This window comes from Homo sapiens, chromosome 22 (genome assembly GCF_000001405.40).
Source record: "Homo sapiens chromosome 22, GRCh38.p14 Primary Assembly".
Lineage (NCBI taxonomy): Eukaryota > Metazoa > Chordata > Mammalia > Primates > Hominidae > Homo > Homo sapiens.
In genome coordinates, this window is record NC_000022.11 from 21021324 (window position 1) to 21045025 (window position 23702).

General features: G+C 53.5%; 2 protein-coding genes, 1 non-coding gene and 1 pseudogene across 34 annotated transcripts in view, besides 2 other annotated features; 1 reads left to right on the plus strand and 3 right to left on the minus strand.

The window, feature by feature from the left end:
* P2RX6 (purinergic receptor P2X 6) overlaps positions 1-6685 on the plus strand; it is an 18210-nt gene extending 11525 nt beyond the window's left edge. For 7 of the 30 annotated variants that reach the window (XM_017029075.2, NM_001394696.1, NM_001349874.2 and 4 more), the window contains 8 exons: positions 1619-1712; positions 1795-1875; positions 1952-2093; positions 2186-2295; positions 4482-4575; positions 4688-4753; positions 4929-5006; positions 5097-6685. In XM_017029075.2, coding sequence (XP_016884564.1) covers positions 1619-1712; positions 1795-1875; positions 1952-2093; positions 2186-2295; positions 4482-4575; positions 4688-4753; positions 4929-5006; positions 5097-5294 — 863 coding nt within the window. In that variant the 3' untranslated portion in view covers positions 5295-6685. Of the gene's footprint in view, positions 1-1352; positions 1429-1618; positions 1713-1794; positions 1876-1951; positions 2094-2185; positions 2296-4481; positions 4586-4687; positions 5007-5096 lie in introns of those variants that run through there. The other 23 variants (NM_005446.5, NM_001394693.1, NM_001159554.2 and 20 more) reach the window with 13 other exon arrangements.
* A 709-nt stretch (positions 6686-7394) lies between these two features.
* Positions 7395-11238, minus strand: SLC7A4 (solute carrier family 7 member 4). 2 transcript variants are annotated; one of them, NM_004173.3, is made up of 5 exons: positions 11208-11238; positions 9508-10529; positions 8388-9028; positions 8013-8121; positions 7395-7907 (listed from the first exon to the last, which is right to left on the minus strand). In NM_004173.3, the coding sequence occupies exons 2-5, from the start codon at positions 10487-10489 to the stop codon at positions 7732-7734; spliced, it is 1908 nt and encodes a 635-aa protein (NP_004164.2). In that variant the 5' UTR covers positions 10490-10529; positions 11208-11238; the 3' UTR covers positions 7395-7731. The 2 variants fall into 2 exon arrangements, with proteins under 2 accessions (NP_004164.2, XP_047297428.1); XM_047441472.1 differs by having other exon boundaries at positions 9508-11238.
* Positions 10784-11294: an enhancer, noted in NCBI's record as "H3K27ac-H3K4me1 hESC enhancer chr22:21386396-21386906 (GRCh37/hg19 assembly coordinates)". NCBI's record gives its function as "activates a minimal SCP1, AML or CMV promoter by ChIP-STARR-seq in naive H9 embryonic stem cells {active_cell/tissue: H9 hESC(naive)}" and the evidence as "EXISTENCE:reporter gene assay evidence [ECO:0000049][PMID:30033119]".
* Positions 12853-12949, minus strand: MIR649 (microRNA 649). Its single transcript, NR_030379.1, has one exon. It is a non-coding gene; the product is annotated as a microRNA 649 (primary transcript).
* Positions 19954-20182: a silencer, noted in NCBI's record as "fragment chr22:21395566-21395794 (GRCh37/hg19 assembly coordinates)". NCBI's record gives its function as "represses an EF-1alpha promoter that drives an FKBP-Casp9 reporter gene in an ReSE screen in K562 erythroleukemia cells {active_cell/tissue: K562}" and the evidence as "EXISTENCE:reporter gene assay evidence [ECO:0000049][PMID:32094911]".
* Positions 21069-22926, minus strand: P2RX6P (purinergic receptor P2X 6 pseudogene; annotated as a pseudogene). Its single transcript, NR_002829.1, has 2 exons — positions 22826-22926; positions 21069-21091 (listed from the first exon to the last, which is right to left on the minus strand). The product of NR_002829.1 is annotated as a purinergic receptor P2X 6 pseudogene (transcript).
* Positions 22927-23702: the final 776 nt, after the last annotated feature.

Here is a 23702-nt window from a genome sequence, read left to right on the forward strand (position 1 = left end):
AGAGGCAGGGTGCTCAGTTTCCTGCACATTGGGATGCACCACTTGGGCTGCTGGGCATAGGTGGATGAGGGTATGGGAAGACGTGGGGGCCCCACTGGTGGTCACTGTGGGGTCTAGTTGGAGGAGACGGTAGCCCAGCTGGGGTGAAGAGGAGAGGCAGACACAGGACATAGGTAGGGACAAAGAAGCAGAGCATGTGGCTCTGCTCCGACCTCCACCCAATCACGACGGCCCTGTCTTTCAGAAAGTCCCACCGCCTCATTCTGGCTTCTCAGAGGCCCTCAGCCTTCCTTGCGCCCCTGGTGCTGGTGTTCTTCCTGCTGCCCCTGAGCTGAGTGCCCTGGGCAGCAGTGTCCATCCTCAGTTGGGGCAGGACCATGCCTGGGAGAGTGCCCGATGCTCAAGGGTGCCTTCGTCTCTGGGGTCTGGGACCCCAGAAAGCTCACCTGTCCTCCCCTTCTGCCAGAGCCCCATAGTCCTATGCCTCTGTGCAGGCATTAATGTCCCCAGGTTACAGAAGAGCGAGCAGGAAGGAGTAGCCTGTGGTCCCTCAGCAAGGGTGTGGGGTCCTGCTTCAATACCCAAGCCCCTGACTCTAGGGCCCTGATCTTTGTCAGCTATGTCCCCATGCCGGGCATCAAAAACTCACCCTCCCAAGGTATCTTCACCTTCCCTGATCTGTCATCCAAATTGGACCAGAGGAGCTAGACCTGGAAGAATCACTTCCGCATCCACCAGGGACAGAACTGTCAGGAGGGAAGGGGCAGGGTGCGTTGTCTCACGCCTGTAATCCCAGCACTCTGGGAGGCTGAGACAGAAGGATTGCTTGAGGCCAGGAGTTAAAAACCAGCCTGGTCAACATAGCAAGACTCCATCTCTACAAAAAAAAAATATTAAAAAATCAGCCAGGCACAGTGGTGTGTGTCTGTAGTCCCAGCTACTGGGAATACTGAGGTGAGAGGATTGCTTAAGCCCGGGAGGGCGAGGCTGTAGTGAGCCATGATCATACCACTGCACTAGAGCCTGGACAACAGAGTGAGACCGAATCACTAAAAATAAATTTTTTGAAAAAGGAGGAAAGGGGTCTCCCTTTGTCTTTGAAATACAGTACTGTACCTTCATCTGGCCAGGGCATTGCTCCGCTCCCTCCTCTGACCACCTCCTTTTATTTGCACCCTCCAGCTTTCCTGTGTGGCCCCACACTCAGGGTACTCTGGCGGCGGGGTGGTGAGGTTGTTTAAGGTGGGAAGGGGGCCTGTCCTTCCCACCTTGAACCTCCCTGCCTTTGAGACTGGGCTGTGGAGGGGAGACATCCCCTGTGCCATTGGTGACTGCTCTCTCTCCCACCTCAGCACCCGTCCGTCCCACTGGCTAACTGCTGGGTCGACGAGGACTGCCCCGAAGGGGAGGGAGGCACACACAGCCACGGTAACTGTGGGCTCTGTCTTCCAGTGCCCCCAGCAGGGTGGGGGCCGGGCTGGGATCCTGGGTGGCTCCTGAGTGCAGGCCCTGCTCGCCTCTGTCCCTGCATCTCTCTTTCTGCCAACAACCCCCTGGCTGAAGGCCTCCCCAGGCCTGCAGAGATTTGAAGGTCTGGAGTTCATCTTTTGTTTTCTAGGTGTAAAAACAGGCCAGTGTGTGGTGTTCAATGGGACCCACAGGACCTGTGAGATCTGGAGTTGGTGCCCCGTGGAGAGTGGCGTTGTGCCCTCGTAAGTGTCCCCACAATCCCCTACCCCAACTGGCGCAGGGCCCCAGGCCTGGCAGAGGCTGTCACCTCCCTTCCACCTGCAGGAGGCCCCTGCTGGCCCAGGCCCAGAACTTCACACTGTTCATCAAAAACACAGTCACCTTCAGCAAGTTCAACTTCTCTAAGTAAGCAGAGTGGGTCTCATCTGCCCCAAGACCCTCCTTGTCCCCTACCTCATCTGACCTTTCCCACTCCTCCCAGGTCCAATGCCTTGGAGACCTGGGACCCCACCTATTTTAAGCACTGCCGCTATGAACCACAATTCAGCCCCTACTGTCCCGTGTTCCGCATTGGGGACCTCGTGGCCAAGGCTGGAGGGACCTTCGAGGACCTGGCGTTGCTGGTGGGTCCCAAGTTGGGGGCAGGGTTCCTAGAGGGCTCTGGGAGAGGGTCCCGGGCCCACCCACCGGTGGAAAAGCTATGTGCTATGTGCAGGGTGGCTCTGTAGGCATCAGAGTTCACTGGGATTGTGACCTGGACACCGGGGACTCTGGCTGCTGGCCTCACTACTCCTTCCAGCTGCAGGAGAAGAGCTACAACTTCAGGTGAGGCCCCACTGCTCCCAGTGCCCAGCTGCTGGGCCCATCGCCCTCTCACTGTGGCGGCCAGGACAGACCACACCCAGGCCCAGGCCTCTAGATATTCCACTACGTGTGCAAGGGGGTCCCAGGAGCAGGAGAGAGCTGTTCTCAACCCCACATCCTCCAGCACAGGCTCCGTCCTGCTGCCCCAAGTCCTGAGCCCTCCACCCCATCTGTCCCAGGCCCCTGCCCAGCTCAGGCTCCTCACTGCCAGCCCTTCCTCCACCCCACCTCGCTTCTAGTATCTCCCCTCCACAGCAATGGGGTGTTTCATTTTTACTTTCCCCTTCTCCCCTTCAGCTTTGTTTTTTTTTTTTTTAAGACAGAATCTCATTCTGTCACCCAGGCTGGAGTGCAGTGGCCCGACCTCGGCTCACTGTAACCTCTGCTTCCTGGGTTCAACCGATTCTCCTTCCTCAGCCTCCTGAGTAGCTGGAATTACAGGTGCTCGCCACTACTCCCAGCTAATTTTTATATTTTGGTAGATAGAGATGGGTTTTCACAATGTTGGCCAGGCTGGTCTCAAACCCCTGACCTCAGGTGATCCACCCACCTCAGCCTCCCGAAGGGCTAGGATTACAGACGTAAACCACCATGTCTGGCCTCCCTTCCGCTTTTACCTAAACTTTTTTTTTTTTTTTGAGATGGAGTCTCACTCTGTCGCCCAGGCTGGAGTACAGTGGCGGGATCTCAGCTCACTGCAAGTTCCGCTTCCCGTGTTCACGCCATTCTCCTGCCTCAGCCTCCCAAGTAGCTGGGACTACGGGTGCACGCCTCCACGCCCGGCTAATTTTTGCATTTTTAGTAGAGACAGGGTTTCACCATGTTGGCCAGGATGGTCTCGATCTCTTGACCTCGTGATCCACCTGCCTCAGCCTCCCATAGTGCTGGGATTACAGGCGTGAGCCACCACGCCCGACCTTTTTTTTTGAAACGGAGTTTTCACTTTCTTGTAGTCCAGGCTGGAATGCAATGGCGTGGTCTTGGCTCACTGCAACCTCTGCCTCCTGGGTTCAGGTGATTTTCCAGCCTCTGCCTCCAGAGTAGCTGGGATGACAGGTGTGCACCACCACACCCAACTAATTTTTGTATTTTTAGTAGAGATGGTGTTTTGCCATGTTGGCCAGGCTGGTCTCGAACTTCTGACCTCAGGTGATCTGCCCACTTCAGCCTCCCAAAGTGCTGGGATTACAGGCATGAGCCACCAAGCCTGTTTTTTTTGTGTTTTTTTTTTTTTTTTTTTTAGATGAAGTTTTGCTCTTGTTGCCCAGACTGGAGTGCAGTGGCCCGATCTCGGCTCACTGCAATCTTTGCCTCTCGGGTTCAAGCAATTCTCCTGCCTCAGCCTCCTGAGTAGCTGTGATTACAGGTGCACACCACCACACCCAGCTAATTTTTGTGTTTTTACTAGAGATGGGGTTTCACCATATTGGTCAGGCTGGTCTCGAACTCCTGACCTCAGGTGATCCACCTGCCTCAGCCTCCCAAAGTGCTGGGATTACAGGTGTGAGCCACTGTGCCTGGCCTCAAGTTTCATAAATTGCATTTATTATCATGTCTTTGAGTCTTCTAAGCAGATCTATTGGATCCTTCTGCCACCGAGCGTCACCTCGTCATGCAGGCAGGCACACACGACCACCAGGCCTGGGGATGATGCCCCTCAACATAGCTCACTGCACCCCGTCTGATCTGGCTTCCCCAACCTCCCCAGCCCTTCGAAACCACGTGGGGCTGGCTCCCACCCACATCCTGTTCCCCTGACCTCTGTGCTGGCAAACCACCTGTGTGCATGTTCCTTCAGGCCCAGCCTCATGTCCCCTCCAGGAAGTCTACCCCAGTTCCCAGGGAAGAGTGAGTTCCCATCTCTGGAATCCCTCAGCCCTGAGCCTGCCCCTTCACATCCCCCGCTGCTGGGTCTGTTTAGGGACTCCTCTGTCCCCCGTCCTCTCAGCAGGCAGGGAACTTCTGAGGGACAGGTCTTCGTTTGCTTTTTCTGTTTTCTCACCAATTACATAGGGCTGAGACCCAGGACTCAGGCTTGGGCTGGGGGTTTATAGAGTCAATTGACAAGTTGGACAGAGGTCTGGCAGGGCCAGCCCCACCTGGGGGTGGGCAAAGCAGGTCACCAGAGCCTTCTTTCCTGCCCACAGGACAGCCACTCACTGGTGGGAGCAACCGGGTGTGGAGGCCCGCACCCTGCTCAAGCTCTATGGAATCCGCTTCGACATCCTCGTCACCGGGCAGGTAGGCACAGGTAGGGGTCAGGCCGGGGATGGGATGGGGCAGGCAGACAGGGCTGGAGGAGGCATGAGGCTGACAGTCGTGGGCTGAGAGGTTCAGCTCAGATCTCTCTCAGGCAGGGAAGTTCGGGCTCATCCCCACGGCCGTCACACTGGGCACCGGGGCAGCTTGGCTGGGCGTGGTGAGTGCGAGCACTGTGGGCACCTGCAGGCTGCAGTGAGTGCTGCTGACCAGGGTGTGTCCAATGCATGCTGGAGCCTCCGGTGCCTGCACATTGAGTCTCGGGGTGCAGGCTGGGGAGGTGGCAGGAGAGCAGGCTCGGGGGCTGGAACATGGGTTGGCCCTGCCTCTCCCAGGTCACCTTTTTCTGTGACCTGCTACTGCTGTATGTGGATAGAGAAGCCCATTTCTACTGGAGGACAAAGTATGAGGAGGTGAGCTGAGGTCGCTCTGCTTGGACCCTGGGTTCTGCCACACTTAGGAAGATGTTGGCTGGATCCCTGACCTGCTGTCCTCATCTGCAGGCCAAGGCCCCGAAAGCAACCGCCAACTCTGTGTGGAGGGAGCTGGCCCTTGCATCCCAAGCCCGACTGGCCGAGTGCCTCAGACGGAGCTCAGCACCTGCACCCACGGCCACTGCTGCTGGGAGTCAGACACAGACACCAGGATGGCCCTGTCCAAGTTCTGACACCCACTTGCCAACCCATTCCGGGAGCCTGTAGCCGTTCCCTGCTGGTTGAGAGTTGGGGGCTGGGAAGGGCGGGGCCCTGCCTGGGGATCTCAAGGATGAGGCCCCAGCATGGAGGATTGGGGGTAGAATTCCACCCTTGAACCCCAGCAGACAGTCCCTCCCCTGACTCCCACCTTGGTAGGGTGCTGCCTCAGGGAGCCATAGAAGTCGGCTGTGTTTTGAGACGGCGACAGAACCTGACCCGTGGAGACTGGGAGAGCCCAGCAGGCACCTGTATTGCAGGGCTCCGACTGCATGTGGCAGGGGCTCCTGCTGCGTCTGGGCCTGGAGGTCTCTCTCCCAGTGCTCTGTCCCCAGTGTTCCTAGCAGAGGTATGCTTACCAGCTGTCAGCACAGACCCTCCTGCTGCCTGGGTCCTGGCCCTCCTCCCCCATCTGCACCCCCATCATAGGTAGAGACCCCACCCTCCCATCGGTCCTACATGGGGCTGTGCAGCTGGAGCCAAAAAGGCAAGGTAGAAAGAGGAGTGATGGGGGAGGGGGATTGTTTCAGCTTCTCTGGTGCTGTGATGCCCCAGGAGAGTCCTAATCTAGGGAATGGGGTGGAGTAGGCAGATAATCCACCTCCCTATCCCCCAGGCAAGGGCGGAGCATGTGTCTTGGGCCCACACCTGCTTAGTTTATGAGGACCGGCTGCTTTCCAGTGGTAGCCCTTTTGCCATGGAGGTCTGGGAGAGAGAGCAGAGGGCGGCAGGGCTAAGTTGGTGATCATTGGGTTCTTCAGGACCTTCTATATCCCTCCTCGGTAACCCCCCAGCCCAACCCCTTGGAATCTTTCCTCCAGGCTTCCTGAGAGCCCTGGGGGTGGGAGGCTGTGGGAGGCTGTACATCTGAAATTCACTTCAGTCCAAGTCATACCTAGGAAGCTGTCTGGGCAGCTGCTCGAGGGAGGCCCTGGCTCTGATCCCAGGCTGGATGGAGTGGCTGGAAGGAATGGTTCCAAACAACACCACCGAGATCTCCCTCAGGCTGGCCAGGTTTTGCAGCTGGAATTCTCCTCTTGGTCCCAGGGCGGGGCAGGGAATTCTAAGTGTCCACCCCAGGGAGGCAAGGGGCTGCTTTCCACTGTGGGTACCTGGTGATCAGGGCAAGCTGTGGAGGGCCAGGGGTGGGGCTGAGACTGGGCTGACATCTAGAATCACCTGCCACCTGGAGCCTCAGTAAAATGCCTGGGGTCCCTGCTGCCTCTCAATCTCCAGAGCCATGTCCATGGGGAGGTGGGCTCTGAAGGGCGAAGGTGGGAGAGCAGGGCCCCTGAGGCCTGGGTATCCAAGGAGGGGCACGTGCACCTGATTCTCCTTGGGGCCCAGAGGAAGCTGATGTCATGGCTGGACAAAGTCACGGAGTAAAGCCAGCAAAGCCACCCTCTTCCTGTGTAGTCCTTACAGGCATGACTGGAAAGTTGGGGGGCATCTATGGTAGACATGGCACAGCCATGAAGAGACCAGTGGGGTGGTGCAGGGTGGACTTGGGGACCCTACCCCTGAAGACTGAGGCCCTGCAGCTACCAGGTGGGCTAGAAGGTAACTGGAACAGGCCTGGGCACTTGTGCACCCATGTAGGAGCATGAGGGCCACACTCTTTTCACCTCAAAGCCCTTGAAGAGTGGGCAAAGACAGCAAGAGAGCTGCAGCCTGGGCCCGAGCTCAGAAACAGCTGTCGCCTCAGTCTGCGCACAGGCATGCACCCCAGGGTAGTGCCTGCAGGGATGCATGTGTCCCCGTGGGGGTGCCTGTGCCAGGCAGGCCTCAGGTGCATGCCATGCTCAGAACCCTGCTGCCCTTTCTAGGCAGCCTCCTTGGGGCCCAAGCTCTGCTCCCTGGATCTGCCACCTAGCAGACGTGGGGAGCCTGACCCCATGCCTGTCATGGAACCCTCCTTGCCTGGTGTGTGTGGCTCCCCTCTTCACTGGGCACCTGGATCCAGGCCCACCTGTGTCCCTGACTCAGGGTGGTCCCAGGACTGGCACCTACTCTTTAGAGAGCCCCAGCATCTTTGATGTGGATTGGAGACAATTGCCTGGTTCCCTGGGGCAGGTGAAGACTTGGTGCCACAAAGAATGCCACAGTGGATACGCCAGCAGGCCACATGGCTGGCCAAGCAATTATTATTATGGATCCCTTGGGCTGTGGGCCTTCCCATCCACCCCACCACAACTGCCCAGGTAGCTGGAGCTGATCATAAACAAGAAGGCTCTGGGCAGAGTCCATGGCACCAGCACCAGCCAAGGCCCACTCCTGAAGACCCGAAGCCCAGCCCCTGGATGAAGGTCCTAAGGTCCTGAGGACTCCCCAGCCTGTGCAGGCCTGCAAACCCAGGCTGCCCACAACAGAAGGGGCTCTCGGCTTGTCTGGCCTCTCTGGCCTCCCAAGCAGGTGTGGGAGGGCGGGGCAAGTGTGGGCTGATCAGCTACTCCATATGGCCAGGGTCCTGTGCTGGTGCCTGGCTGGGGGGCTGCATAGCCTGCACTGTCTCCTCCAGGCTGCCCCTGGGGAATACCACGTAGTGTGTGGAGTTCAGCCCTGGCAGCTCCCGCTGGTTCTCCTTGCTATGCCGGATGCCATAGCCGAAATACACTGCAAGTCCTAGACAGGGCAGGAGGCAGGGCATGAGCCTGAGGTACAGGTTCCAGCCCTTCCTGTCCTCTTTGCCCTCCTCCTGACCCCGGTCCCAGCCTGGCCCCCACTCACCCATCAGCAGCCAGATGGAGAAGCGCACCCAGGTCAGATAGCTAAGTTTCAGCATGAGGCAGATGTTGAGGACGATGCTCAGGGCTGGAATCAGGGGAACCATGGGGATCTGAGGAGGCAGAGGCAGGGCAGGGCTGGGCCGGGCTGCAGGAAAGATCTGCCAGCCCAGGGCTCACTTTCTCGGGAATCCATAGAGCCTTTGTTCCTCACGGGAGATTGTGGAGACATGTGCTCACTCACCATGCAGAAAGGGGTGCGGGATGGGTGTGTGGTCCTCCCCAGCCCCGTGAGACTTGTTCATTCTGGGATGGTAGTGGGGGAAGGGGAGGCAGCTGCCTGGGCCGAGTGTGAGTGGGTGTTGGCTAGGGGAGGTACCTGAAATAAGTCTTCCCGATACTGTTGCTGGTGAGCCCCCAGGACAAGGAGGCTGAGCAGAAACATGACACTGGTGAGCAGGAGCAGCAGGATGTAACCCCAGTGTGGGAGGTGCAGGGTCGAGTTCCCAAAGACAAGCACGCAGCCTATGGTGATGGCTGAGGCCAACATAACGCCAAGCGCCCAAGTCACCACTGCTCCAGGGCTGTACCCATCCAAGAAGCCCAGGTAGGGCCTCAGGGCTGGCTTCAGCTCCCCTGGCTCAGGGACGGAGGCGTGTACAGTGCCCACCAGCTGTAGGTGGTCTGAGAAGGAGCTCTGCTGCTTGGTCAGGGGGCCAGGGCTGGCTGGGCCTGGGGAGCTGGGCGGGGAAGACTTCTGGAAGCGCAGCACAATGATACTGGTGGCCACGAATGTGTAGGCCAGGAGTGTGCCAAGGGACAGGAACTGAACCAGCGACTCCAGGTCCAGCAGCAGTGCCAGGAAGGCCGTGAGGAGCCCGAACGCCAGGGTGCCCGCCACAGGCACCTGTGTCCGGGGGTGCACATGGGCAAACACCTGGAAGAAGAGCCCATCGGCGGCCATGGCATAGACAATGCGTGGCAGGGAGAAGAGGAGGCTGAGCAGGACGGTGTTCATGGCTGTAGCAGAGAGAGTGGGGAGGGTCAGCATGGCGGAGAAGCCCACCAGGGGCCTCTGCTGGGGGTCGGTGCATGGGTGGCTCCTTGGGAACAAGGGCATGAGCTTGTCTGGGCTCTCAGAGTAAGCATGAGTTTGTGTAGGAGTAATAGATTGTCAGCGCTTTGCCCAAGAACAGGACATCTGGGTTAGGTCACAGGCCCACTGGAGCATCGGATGAGGGCTGAGTCCCTCTGCCTAGGAAATAATCTATAAGGACATGCCCAGAACTAATATGCTATGGACCATGTGTGGGGCGGTCCCTTCCAAAGTTTCTGAAGAAACTTTTTTTGAAGTGAAGAGTTTCTAATAATTAGCACTTTCCTTGCCCCATTATGCAACTAGTAAAACAGCCCCAGTTGAAGGTGCATTCCCCAAGAATCTGAGGACAAGGTCCCCCTTGCTCTTTTCCCTGCCACCCTGCCCAGGAAGAGTCTCTCACCGCAGATGGAGCCAGCTGCCACGATGAAGCCAGCCCACCTGTAGCCCCGCTGGTAGAAGGCATCTGCAAGCGCTGAGTCGGGGTCCAGGCTGTGCCAGGGCACCATGAGGGTTAGCACGGTGGAGACAAGGATGTAGGCACCAGCTGCAATGGCAAGCGAGATGGCGATGGCCAGAGGCACAGACCGCCGTGGGTTCTGGGCCTCCTCACTGGAGGCGGCAATGACGTCGAAGCCCACGAAAGCATAGAAGCAGGAGGCAGTGCCGGCCATGACGCCGGAGAAGCCGAAGGGTGCAAAGCCGCCTTCGTCAGCGCTCCAGTTGTGAGGCTGGGCCAGGATGAAGCCCAGGATGACAATGAAGAGAATGACAAGCAGGCTGATGGCCGAGAAGGTGTGATTGAGCCAGGAGGACACGCGGGCTCCACAGGAGACAAAGGCAGAGGCCAGGAGGATGATGCCAGCAGCCAGGAAGTCCGGGTAGTGGCCCAGGAGGGGCACCTGCCAAGAACCCACGTGGGTCTCAGTGAAGTTGCGGATGCTGTGGCTGAACATAGAGTCCAGGTAGCCACTCCAGGCACGGGCCACGGCGGCGCCACCGATGATGTATTCGAGGAGAACATTCCAGCCGATGAGGAAGGCCCACAGCTCGCCCATGGATACGTAGGTGAACAGGTAGGCAGAGCCCGTGCGTGGCACACGTGCCCCAAATTCTGCATAGCATAGGGCTGCCAGCAGGGAGGCCACAGCGGCCACACCGAAGGACAAGAGCACAGCAGGGCCAGCCACCTCCTTGGCCACGGCACCTGTGAGCACGTAGAGACCCGAGCCCACCATGCCACCCACGCCCAGAAGAGTCAGGTCCAGCGTGGACAGGCAGCGCCGCAGTGACGTCTCCATGGTGGAGTCCTCCAGCGGCTTCAGGCGGTTCAGCTTCTGGCATAAGCGTGCCAGGCTAGCAATGGTGGGCAGCCCCCGGGCCATGGCAGGTGGCCGAGAAGAGCACCGAGCCAGCTACTGGAACCTGCTAGGGCCAGAGGGGAATGACAGGATGCGTAGCCGGGGCCTGACCAGCCTTCCATCCCTCCTGGTCTGACCACCCCCAGTCCTCTCTCTGTCCCTGACCTGGGGACCTGGACACCCTCACCAGGGGCCTGCTGGAGAGCTGGAATGGGGCAGGTGTCAGAACCTGTGGGCAGGAGGTCACAGGAAGCCTGGAGGCCCTGTCTGCATCCCAGGCAGCAAAGGAGGCCTGGTGAGGCCCCACCTGCTCACCCGCTCGGTGGCCCTGAGGGGTGGGGAGGGAGCAGCTCCAGGGGGAGCAGGGTGAGAGGCTGGGAACGGCTCAGTGGTGGGGTCCCAGAGCCAGGTGAAACCGAGGCTTCCCCAGAGTCGAGCCGGACCCGGAACAGGAGCCGCGGCTCTGCGTCGGGGCGGGTGTGGCCCAGGCAGCCACCTGGCCACAGACAGACAGTGGCGGCTACATACACCCCCGCCCCTGCACCCGTGGCCAGGCTGGGGTATCCGCGCGCCAGGCGGAATGCAGGGGCGCCCTGGGCCCGCACACCTCCCCATGTCCGACACGCCGCTGCTGCTAGAGCCTGCTCCGCCGCGCCCCCGTCCCCGGACACCTGCGCCTTCGCCTGTTCTTGGGCCTGAGCCCGTCCCAGTCCCCGTCCCCGCAGGATCTGCTGCAACCCACCTGCTGCTGCCGCAGCCGCTGCCTCCGCTCTGAGCACTGAGCCCGCCCAGTTCGCCGGCGCCGAGCGCAGGGCCCGCCCCCATCCCAGGCCCCCCGCGCGGCCCCACCCGCTGCCACACACCCAGATATTTCACCCTGCCCACTCTGCCCGACCTCGCAAGGTCGTTACCGGAGCTCACCGGGGTCTAGGGAAGCCCTGTGACTGTGACTCAGTCACAGATGGAGAAGGTCAGACCGCCGGCTGACTGACTAGCCTAGGTCAGTTCGGGGAGGTTAAGGGCCACGTCTGAAAGTCCGCAGCCCACCTTCTTTCTACTGCAGCGGACACCCTTCTTGATCCCTCACCCCAGTACATGAACCCCACCCAGCTGGGCCCCAGACAGGCCCCACAGCACCGTCATGTGAGCTTCAGGCACAGTGAGTTAGATGAAGACATGGGTCTGGCAGAGTGGCCTGGGGCGGTCCCTGACCTCTACTCTTACAATGGAAGAGACTGCAGCCTTTTGAGAGAGTTCTGCGAATTGAGGGAATGCATTCTGGCTGTTTTGAGCCTGCAGCTACCACGTCCTGCAAGGAAGCAAGCAGCTTCTGGGACCAGCCTGCAGCCCTCCTGTGGGGGAGTAGAGCTCCTCAGACCCCAGTGGCAGCCCTTCCTAGCCTAGGCACCTCTGGCAGGCCGGGAGGGCCCTATGGGACCCCAATAGCAGATCCCCACTTGTGTTTATCAGCGACAGCCACTGTGTCCTGAGTACTGCATTCCAGTGCCCCACGCCCCAGGCAGGCAGCTATGCAACAATACACCTGGCTAATTTTTTAATTTTAATTTTTTTAGAGACTGGGTCTCACTATGCTGCCCGGGCTGGTCTCGAACTCTTGGCCTCCCAAAAGGCTGTGATTACATTCATGAACCATGGCTCCTGGCCTCCCCAGAACGCTATACTAGACATGTGTTCAGGCTTACATGTGGTTTGTGGAATGGAATCTTAGGAGCATCTGCAGCCTATCCAGCCTATTGGGCTGGTGACAGGATGATGGACTCCCAGACAAGATGGTGCCAATTTGGAACATTCTGCCTCGGCCAGAATGCCAATACCTTCTAATATTTGGCTGGTATTGTCTTGAGGAACTTCTCAGATGGCTCCCACTTCCGGTGGGATGGTAGCTTCCTTACCCCATCCCTGTGTTGCCTGAGCAGACGTCCCTTGTCCTGAAATGTCACCACAAAAGTCTAGGCACTTCAGGCCAGAGGGTTAGGCAGATTTGTAATGGGAGCTCCCCAAAGGCCTTACCAATGACTGCCTTATTGCTGGTGTCCAGTGTTTTGGAGTGTTGACTTTTTATCTACCTGGAGAAGGTGTGACACCACACCCTCTGCCACAGGCACCAACATACAACGGATATGTGAGACTAAGCAGGGCTGATGCAGTAAATTGTACATTTCCAGAGATATTTCCCTCACTACTGAGTGAGACAGCTACACAGAGCAACCCCACAGTGATGCAGTGAAGACAAACCACCAGGAAACAAAAACTTTCTAACTCATTCTGCAAGGCCAGGATTACCCTGACACTAAACTCAACAAAGACATCACAAGAAAAGAAAACCACAGACCAAAATCCCTTATGAATATAGATGTAGAAATCCCCAGCAAAACACAGTGGACTCTTGAACAACACAGGTTTACTAATACATAGATATTTTTCAACCAAATGTCGATCAAAAATACAGTATTTGGCTAGGCCCAGTGGCTCACACCGGTAATCCCATCACTTTGGGAGGCTGAGGTGAGAGGATCACTTGAACCCAGGAGTCTGAGGCTGCAGTGAGCTATGATCCTGTCACTGCACTTCAGCCTAGGTGGCAAAGCAAGACCCTGTCTCCAAAACTACTAAATAAATAAATTAAAATAAGTGGTGGGTGCCTGTAATCGCAGCTACTTGGGAGGCTGAGGCAGGAGAATCGCTTGAACCCGGGAGGCAGAGGTTGCAATGAGCTGAGATGGCGCCATTGCACTCCAGCGTGGGTGACAGAGCAAGACTCTGTCTCAAAAAAAAATAAAAAACAAAAAACAAAAAATTCATATGGAAATGCAAGGGATCCAGAATAGCCAAAATACTTGGGTATTTTGCCTGGGTAACATAGGGAGACCTCACCTCTACGGAAAGGTAAAAAAATTATATGGGCATGGTGGCATGTGCCTGTGGTCTCAGCTACTGGGAGTCGGGGGTGGTGTTGAGGTGGAAGGATTTCTTGAGCCTGGGAGGTTGAGGTTGCAGTGAGGCATGTTTGTGCCACTGCACTCCAGCTTGGGTGATAGTCAGACCCTGTCTCAAAAAAAAAAGAAAAAAGTAAAGAAAGAAATTAAAGGCAACATAAATAAATGGAAAGACATCCCATGTTCATAGACTGTAAGACTTTAAATATAAAATGGCAGTATTCCCCAAACTGGTCTACAGATTCAGGGGTTGCATAGATTGAGTGCAATTCCTATTGAAATCCCAACTACCTGTTTTGCAAAAATCATCAAAATTCATGTGGAAATGCAAGGGATCCAGAATAGTCAAAATACTTTTGAAAAAGTTTTGGAGGACTTACAATTCCTGATTTCTAAACTGATTGCAAAATGACTGTAATCAAGATTGTGGTGGTGACATAAGAGTAGACACATAGATGAACGGAATAGAATTGACAGTCCACAAATAAACAGTTACATTTATCGTCAAGTGATTTTTTAAAAATAGACTTTATTAGCTGGGAATGGTGGTACACGCCTGTAGTCTCAGTTACTCAGAAGGCTGAGTTGGGAGGATGGCTTGAGCCTAGGAGGCTCAAGGCTGCAGTGAGCTTGATCATACCTGTGAATAGCCTCTTCACTCCAGCCTGGGCAACATAGCAAGACCCTGTATCTAAAAAAAAAAAAAGTTGAGTTTTCAGAGCAGTTTTATGTTCACAGCAATATTGAGCAGAAAGTACAGTTCCCATATACTTCTGCTCCCACACACGTGTAGCCCCCTCTCCCACTACTGACATCCAGCACCAAAGGGGCATATTTGTTACAATCGATTAACCTACATTGACACATCATTATCACCCAAGGTCTATAGTTTACATTAGGGTTCATTCTTCCGGTTGTACATTCTATGGGTTTGGACAAATGTGTAATGACACATAGACACACCATTATTGTATCACACACAGTAGTTTCATTGCCCTAAAAACCCTCTGTGCTCTGCCTGTCCCTCCCTGCTAACACCTGGCAACCACCGATCTTTTTCCTGTCTCCATAGTCTAGTCTTACTTTTGCAGAATCTTATATAGTTGGGATTATAGAGTATATTGCCTTTTCAGGCTTCTTTCCCTTAATAATATGCATTTGAGATTCCTCTATGACTTTTCATGGCTGAATAGCTCGTTTTAATTTTATTTTTTATTTTTGAGACAGAGTCTCACTCTGTCGCCCAGGCTGGAGTGAAGTGGAGTGATCTTGGCTCACTGTAGCCTCTGCCTTCAGGATTCAAACGATTCTCATGTCTCAGCCTCCCGAATGGCTGGGGACTGCAGGCGTGCACTGTCACACCAGGCTAAATTTTGTATTTTTAGTAGAAATGGGGTTTTCCCATGTTGGCCAGGTTAGTCTCAAACTCATTTCCTCAAGTGATACACCTGCTTCAACCTCCCCAATGTGCTGGGATTACAAGCGTGAGCCACCCAACCAGGCCTGTGCTATTTCTAAAATGCAGGAGATGAAGTTGCCATGTGAAAGATGCAACATTCTTATCTTCAAGGATGAGAAGTTGAAATGAGAGAATTCTATACAGACCTTGTTAAAACACTGTTATCTTTTAAGCCTCCCCATATAATTTAGTTGCCTCTTCATAACTTATTATTATTTGTCCAATTCAGTGTATAAGTAACAGACTCTAACTTCTTCTTTGGGTCTTCAAATGTCCTTATGAGGGTTCCCAACCCATGTAAAACTTGTACTCAATAAATTTGTGGGACTGTGTGGTGGCTCACTCCTGTGATCCCAGTGCTTTGGGAGGCCGAGGGGGGCTTGCTTGAGTCCAGGAGTTCAAGACCAGTCTGGGCAATATAGTGAGATCCCGGTTCAACACTTTTTTTTTTTAATTAGATTGGTGTGGTGGGTGGCATGTACCTGCAGTTCCAGCTACTCAGGAGGCTGAGGTGGGAGGATAGCTTGAGCCCAGGAGTTTGAGGCTGCAATGAGCTGTGATCTCACCACTGCACTCCAGCACCCCTTATTTATAAATAAATATAATGGCTAGCCTTAGGGACTCTGTTCGCAAGATTAAAGAACAGAAATCAGATGTAGAATAGCATATAAATAAATTTATGTGCTTTTCTTCTGTTAACCTGTCCTATGTCAATTTAATTCTTGGGCCCAGCTGAGACTCTAGGGATGGAAGTGGAGTTTTGCCACCCCTACAGTTTCTGGTGACAAGGATGGGATCCTCTCAAGCCTAAAGATGGGATCCTGGGAGAACAAATAAAAGCGGGCACAGGTAGGAATTCTTACCAAAGTGAACTCTTTTTTTTTTTTTGAGACGGAGTCTCGCTCTGTAGCCCAGGCTGGAGTGCAGTGGCACGATCTCGGCTCACTGCAAGCTCTGCCTCCTGGGTTCACGCCATTCTCCTGCCTCAGCCTCACACGTAGCTGGGACTACAGGCACCCGCCACCACGCCCGGCTAATTTTTTTTTGTATTTTTGGTAGAGACGGGGTTTCACCGTGTTAGCCAGGATGGTCTCAATCTCCTGACCTCGTGATCCGCCTGCCTCGGCCTCCCAAAGTGCTGGGATTACAGGCATGAGCCACTGCGCCCAGCCCAAAGTGAACTCTTCTGGATCTCTGTCTGTAATGCCTGGTTGAAAGAGGAGAGTAAAATTTTTCCTTGTCCCTTTCTAAATTCAAACTGGCAGGAGAAAAGCATGGTAAGAATTGATTCTTTGAGTTATGACTCTTATGTCAACCTTAAATAATGAGATTCAGAAAATATCAGCTAGGCACGTTGGCTTATGCTTGTAATCCCAGCACTTTGGGAGGCCAAGGTGGAAGGATCACTTGAACCCAGGAGTTGGAGGCTGCAGTGAGCTATAATTACATCACTGCATTCCAGTCTGGGTGACACAGACCTAGTCTCCAAAAAACAAAAACAAAAAAAACCAAAGGAAATATGATTTTTATTCTAGTGCAAAGCTTGAGGATGGACACCCAGGAAACAGCTTCCAAAGGGTTGGGGTCATTGCTCCAAAGTGGGGAAGCTAAGGTTTCACTCATAGAGGCAGAAACAGTGTCAGCAGGATTGCAACATCTTCTGTACAAATCCAGTATGTTAGATTCCATTAGTACAGCTTGCTACATTCCAAGGAAAATTGTTTCAACATTCTGTGAGAAGAAGTCAAGCTCTGAGGTCATCTTATCTCTGATGCTGCTCAGACATTTCTAACCATTTACAGGGAAAAGCAGAAGTTGCAACTGCATGCTCCATGCCTCAGGCCACATGGCCACATTCCTCCTGAGGCTCATAATAATGTAAAGTTCCAACAGCTTGGTGGTGGCTCACGCCTGTAATCCCAGCACTTTGGGAAGCTGAGGTGGCTGGATAACTTAAGAAAGGAGTTTGAGACCAGCCTGGCCAACACAGCGAAACCCCGTCTCTACTAAGTATACAAAAATTAGCCCGGCATGGTGGCGGGCACCTGTAGTCCCAGCTACTCAGGAGGCTGAGGTGGGAGGATTGCATGATCCTGGGAGTTTGAGGCTGTAGTGAGCCATGATTGCAGCACTGCACTCCAGCCTGGGTGACAGAGGGAGACCTTGTCTCAAAAAAAAAAAAAAAAGAATTATTTGATTTCACACTTCCGAATTTGGTATTTGGCTCTGCATACATAGTGGCTATTGACCCACAGCCTCCCAGAAATAAGGCTTGTTTTCCATGTCTCTGTTGTGTGGTTTATCATATCTTGTTTTATGTCTTGAGAACATGGCTCTGTGACCAATTGAAATATTCTCTTTGGTTTCTGCCAGCTGCAGGGGTTGGGAGGACAAGTCCTTGTTAGGCTGCTAGCCAGCTGCCCAGGAATCAGAAACACAGTGTCTCTGTCCAACGGTTCCAGCTCTCAGAGGAGTTTGTCCTACTTGTCTCAGCTTTCATTGCCTTGATAACAATTAGGATATTTGCCTGCTTAGGCTATCTTGAAAAAGACTTTGGATCTTGAGGGGGATTGTATCTTTTCCAGCCTGTTTGGGATGCTCTTCTGTGCCTCCAGTTAAGCCAGAAAAGGCATACTGATTTTAAGCCATAAAAAGGCTTATTGGTTTTGAGTCACAATTAAAGTAGGTATAACATTGAAGATTTGGACTTTTGAATCTAAAAGCTTTTTTTTTTTTTTTTTTTAAGACAGAGTTCCGCTCTGTTGCCCAAGCTGGAGTGCAGTGGTGCAGTCTTGGCTCACTGCAACCTCTGTTTCGTGGATTCAAGTGATTCTCCTGCCTCAGCCTCCCGAGTAGCTGGTATTACAGGCATCTGCCACCATGCCTGGCTAATTTTTTGTATTTTTAGTAGAGACGGGGTTTCACCATGTTGGCCAGGCTGGTATCGAACTCCTGACCTCATGATCTGCCTGCCTCAGCTTCCCAAAGTGCTGGGATTACAGGCATGAGCCACTGTGCCCAGCCTAAAAGTATTTTTATTAAAGCGTGCTATTGGCCAGGTGTGGTGGCTCACACCTGTAATCTCAACCTTGTGGGAGACTGAGGTGGGAGGATCGCTTGAGCCCAGGAGGTTGAGCTGCAGTGAGCTATGATCTTGCCACTACTGCACTCCAGCCTGGGCAACACAGTGAGACCCCATCTGTAAACCGTCCCCCCCCACAAAAAAGGGTGCTTTCATCCCAAACAACCGTCCTATTGGTAACTAGAGAAATATCAAATTAAAAAGAAGACACAAAGAAATATAGGCCAGGCACGGTGGCTCATGCCTGTAATTCCAGCACTTTGGGAGGCCAAGGTGGGTGGATCATGAGATCAAGAGATCGAAGCCATCCTGGCCAAAATGTTGAAACCCCATCTCTACTAAACATACAAAAATTAGCCGGGCGTGGTGGCGTGCGCTTGTAGTCCCAACTACTCAGGAGGCTGAGGCAGGAGAATCACTTGAACCCAGGAGGCTGAGTTTGCAGTGAGCCGAGATCATGCCATTGCACTCCAGCCTGGGTGACAGAGCCAGACTCTATCTCAAAAAAAAAAATAAAATAAAATAAATATGGTTAGCTTTAGGGACTTCCTTTAATCTTCCTCAATATTAAAGAACAGAAATCAGATGTAGAAAAAAAGTTGAAATCTGCACCCTCTGTAAATTATCCTCCTCCACCCACCTGTGCTCTGCTCAACCCCCAAGTCCCTGTCCCTGATCCCCCAGAAGGTCTTTCGGATATCTGGGCCCCTGACTTACACTTACCCTCCTCAAAACTTGGCCCTATTCTCCTTAGCAAATTTCTTTTAGACCTAAAACTTCTCCAAATATCCTTTCAATGCCCAGCTGCCTACTTTAACTTCTCTTTTCCTATAAAATTCACAGAAAGCACCCCAGCCTGTTTTCCAGGCCCAAGATATACAGGTGACATGTATATACTGATAGCCAGAAAATAGACCTAACACAGGCTCTGGGAATGAGCAGCCAGGCTTGCTTCACTGTACCTTACAATTCCTCCTACTTCCTGGGGCTCTGTAATCAAATCTCATCAGCTCCAGGCATTCCCATGTTTAGGCCGAAACCACAAAAAAGTCTACTGGACTATCGTACTCTTAGGAAAAAGAAACCATAAAAATTACCCTAGATCTCTGATAACAAAAAATATGCTCTGAAACTCCTTGGAGAAAATCTACATTCTTTCTCAGTTTTCTTGCTCTGTCGCCAGTCTTATCATATCTTTAAAACTTAAGGGCCAGGCACAGTGGCTCAAGCCTGTAATCCCAGCACTTTGGGAGGCTGAGGCAGGCGGATCACGAGGTCAGGAGATCGAGACCATCCTGGCTAACACGGTGAAACCCCGTCTCTACTAAAAATACAAAAAAATTAGCCAGGTGTGGCGGCGTGCGCCTGTAGTCCCATCTGCTGGGAAGGCTGAGACAGCAGAATGGCGTGAATCCGGGAGGCGGAGCTTGCAGTGAGCCGAGATCGCGCCACTGCACTCCAACCTGGGTGACAGAGCAAGACTCTGTCTCAAAAAAAACAAAAAACAAAAAACAAAAAACACAAACTTAAGTATCTGAGGAACTGGGCTGGGCACAGTAGCTCACGCCTGTAATCCTAGCACTTTGGGAGGTCAAGGTGCGCAGATCGCTTGAGGTCAGGAGTTTGAAACCAGCTTGGCCAACATGGTGAAACCCTGTCTCTACTAAAAATATATATATATAAAAATTATCCATCTGCTGGGGAGGCTGAGACAGCAGAATGGCGTGAACCCGGGAGGCGGAGCTTGCAGTGAGCCGAGATTGCACCACTGCACTCCAGCCTGGGTGACAGGACAAGACACCATCTCAAAAAAAAAACAAAAACAAAAACAAAAAAAAACTTAAGTATCTGAGGAATTGGCTGGGTGCAGTGGCTCATGCCTGTAATCCTAGCACTTTGGGAGGTCAAGGTGGGCGGATCGCTTGAGGTCAGGAGTTCGAAACCAGCCTGGCCAACATGATGAAACCCTGTCTCTATGAAAAATATATATTAAAAAAGTTAGCCAGGTGTGGTGGCATGCACCTGTAATCCCAGCTACTTGGGAGGCTGAGGCAGGAGAGAATTACTGGAACCACTCGGGAGGCGGAGGTTGCAGTGAGCTGAGATCATGCCATTGCACTCCGGCCTGTACAACAGAGCCAGGCTCCATCTCAAAAAAATAAAATAAAATAAAATAAAAGAATCTGAGGAATTAACTAGAACAACCCCCAGTATGCTAGTCTGAGATTAAAAAAAGTGTTGAATGTTTAACATTTTAGGTGCTTTACTTCAATAATGTTTGATATTTGCCTAATATATATGTCATAAAAATTGCCAGCAAAATAAAACTTAAGATAATAACTAGCTTTGTCTAATGTTTCATGAAGTTTTCACAATTCAGATATAATTGTTAAATAAACTAAACTTATATAAATGCAAGTGGGAAAAAATTTGTAAATAAGTTATTATTATTATTTTTTGAGACTGGGTGTTGCTCCATTGCCCAGGCTAAAGTATAGTAGTGGGACTGTAGCTCACTGCAGCCTTGAACTCCTCTTGCCCCAGTATCCTGAGTAGCTGGGGCAATGCCTGGCAAATTTTTAGAAAAATTTTCTTGTAGAGTGGAGTCTTGCTATGTTGCCCAGGCTGGTCTCAAATTCTGGGCCTCAAGCAACCTCCTGTCCTGGCCTCCCAAAGTGCTGGGATTACAGGTGGGAGCCACTGTGCCCAGCTATAAATAATTTTTTACTGTTTTAATTTTTATTTTTGACTGACTCATTGCTAGCCAGAGCTCGGGTTTCTGTCACCCACAGCCTGGGAGGCCTTAAGTAAGTGATTCAACCTCACTGAGCCTCACTCTTTGCCTCTGAAATGGGGATCACAGGAATTCCTGCCAGGCAGGGGATATGTGAAGACTGAACGAAATGATTCACACAAAGATGTAGCCCAGTGCCTGGGGGACACTAAGCACATGCTGAGCCTTCAGCCACCTGGGAAGGATAAAGGGAAACACGGGTGGCCACCTGGGGCTGATGGAGGAATGAGGGGCCCGCTGGGAGTATCCTGGGCAAACTCACCTCTGGGCATCTGCCCTGATCTTGGGCTGGCGTCACAAGGAAGTTGGTCACCAAGAAGAACACGTTCTCTCCCTAGGAGGCAAGTCTCAAAGTTGGCCTGGCTGGGCTTGCATTGACTGGAAAGGCCAGAAGCCGGCAGCCTGGTTTATGAGGGAAGGGATGTTGGCCCCATGAAATCATTAACCCTGTCCCCACGTAAGGCAGATTGAAGCAGAGATGGGAGGCTGGCAGCAGTTCTGGCCATTTCTGAGACCATGAAGCCTCATGCCCATGTCCATCTCTTGAGACAAGTTTCTTTCTCATTTGTTCAACCAAAATATCTTTTATTTTCTTTCTTCTTTATTTTTTTTTTTGAGACAGAGTCTCACTGTCACCCAGACTGGAGTGCAGTGGCATGAACTCGGTTCACTGCAACCTCTGCCTCCTGGGTTCAAAGGATTCTCCTGCCTCAGCCTCCTGAGTAGCTGGGATTACAGGCGCACAGAGTTTCACTTTACTCGTCCAGGCTGGAGTGCAGTGGTGTCATCAACCCTTACTGCATCCTGTAACTCCTGGGCTCAAGAGATCTTCCTGCCTCAGCCTCCCAAGTAGCTGGGACTATAGGCTGTAACTACCATGCCTGGCGTCAACCAGAATATTACGACAGCCTGCTGCTTCTAGTACTGAAGATCCAGGGGAGAGCTGGGCCCTGCACCTGCCAGGATGGAGAGGAGGTGAGTCTCCCATCCCACACACAGCAGCACTGGCATGGCAGGGCACAGGTGAGAAGACAGAAAGCTCTGCCTGTGGTCAAAGGGTGGCCAAGGATGTTGGAAGGGGAGGCTGACCCTCCAGTGCTGCCCATGAGAACACTGAATTTGGGGAATGCATGCCCAGGAACGGAAGGTGAGGGCTGTGCAGAGGGTGCTGAGAGTGGCAGCCATTGGGATTAGGAGGGATGGGTGGCCACTATCATTGGCGGGGGGCCTCCTGAGGGTAGAAACAGGGGCTGCAGGCTCTCATGATGCCTGGTGTGAAAGTTCAGCTTGGCTGCTGTGTGGTGTGCACCAAGCAGTAGGGAGGAGGCGAGAGGGGCATCTAAGGGCCTTCTAGGAGGCCATAGTCTCATGCAGGCATGGCATGGGCAGTAGTGAAAAATGTTGGAAGGGACAGGAAGGGGTTGAGGCTGAGTCATGGGTCTGGCTGAGGCACTAGTGGATGTCACAGCCATCATGACTAGTGGATGTCACAGAGGCCATGCCAGGAGAGGGAAATAATTGATCTTTGGACATATGAGTGTGCACCTGGAAGACAGCTGTGCTCTGGGCAGGTGTTCACTGGGGCTACATACACCCTGGGAATCAGAGGAGCAGAGGTGGGTGGAAGTTAAGGCTGTGGATAAGCTGGGTGGAGGGAAGAGGAAAATGCAGCTGAGAAGGGTGGAGGAGGAGCACCTGACCGAGGTGCCCCAGGTCAGGGAGCAGGGCTACAGGAAGTTCCACGCCCTGGCCCCACCACACCCCTCCCACACCACTCTCAAGCTCAAGCCATTAGTCTCAAACACTCCCTTCTTTTCTGTTGGCAGCCTTCGGAAATGCAGTTTCTCTGGCCTGGTTTCTCAACCCATCCCTTTTTCTACCAGAAACCTCCTACACATCCCTGAAAGTCCTGTTCAGGTGCCACTCCTCTGTGAAGCCCTTCCTGAGAACCTGCAGCCACCTTTGGCATCACATGCTTCTCTCTCGCACACACTGGCTGCATGGCGGGTGTTCAAGCTGTCAGTGGGGAAAGGACTTGCGCCCCCGTCAGCAACATCAGGGCCCCCACCTGAGGTGGCTTCACGAAGTCGGCCACATCCCACAGCCGGTTTCCAAGCTCCTTGATCTGAGTCACGGAAACCCCTTTGAGTTTGGTTGTGATGGAAATCTGGGGTTCCAGGTCCCGCTCCTGGTAGCCTTTTTTGGCGAGGAGCGCCCACCTGGGAAGGAGAAGATGGGCAGTGTGGTGTCCCCCCAGCGTGTAGTGACGGGGCAGAGCTGGGCCCTACATGCTCAGTTCTCTCCCCACACCCTACAGGCTCCCAGTCCAGCATCCTCTCTGGCCCCACTTCCCACTGTAGACTCCCTGAACGAGACAGAAGCTCCAGCCATGCATCAGAGAGCCAGTGCCCTCAGACAATCACCTTCACTAGCCAGCACCCACCCCCAGCCTCAGTAGACCCAGCTCCGAGCTTATAGACTCCCCTGACCGGAGATATAGCTGGTGGTCTCTCTGGGGGCCTAGTGCTCCAGCTCTCACAGATGTTAAGGACAATGTCTTGTGCCCCCTGGGTGGGGCCGTGGGGAGGGACTGGGAAGCAGGCAGGTGGACACACAGGACAAACACACAGCTTGTTCTTGCTCTCCTGTCTTGTATTGCCTACCTCCCACCCCGTCCCATTATGGCCCCTTCCCCTCCAGCCCCTAAACAGCCCAACCCTCAACTTCAACCCAGCAGGACCAAGCCCCACCCCCGACCTCTTCCCTTGCCCCTCCAGCCTGGCCAAAAGCTCTTCTCTCTTACCCTACCACATAGACGACGATCCCAAACTGCAGCAGCCTCTGCAGGGCGCCCCCCCACCAGTTCCTGGTCATCACATACTTCTCCGTTTTATAATCCAGAAGCCCCTAGTCTGCTGTGGCCCCTGGGGAGCCCATGCTGCCAG

What these genes read in the sequence shown, in the direction of transcription:
- SLC7A4 (NM_004173.3), bottom strand. Translation starts at nt 10,489, where the DNA reads ATGGCCCGGGGGCTGCCCACCATTGCTAGCCTGGCACGCTTATGCCAG. An exon ending in GGCAGCTGGCTCCATCTGCG is followed by an intron (nt 9,029 to 9,507) that starts GTGAGAGACTCT and finishes TCTCTGCTACAG; the next exon opens with CCATGAACACCGTCCTGCTC. An exon ending in CTCCATCTGGCTGCTGATGG is followed by an intron (nt 7,908 to 8,012) that starts GTGAGTGGGGGC and finishes TGCCCTGTCTAG; the next exon opens with GACTTGCAGTGTATTTCGGC.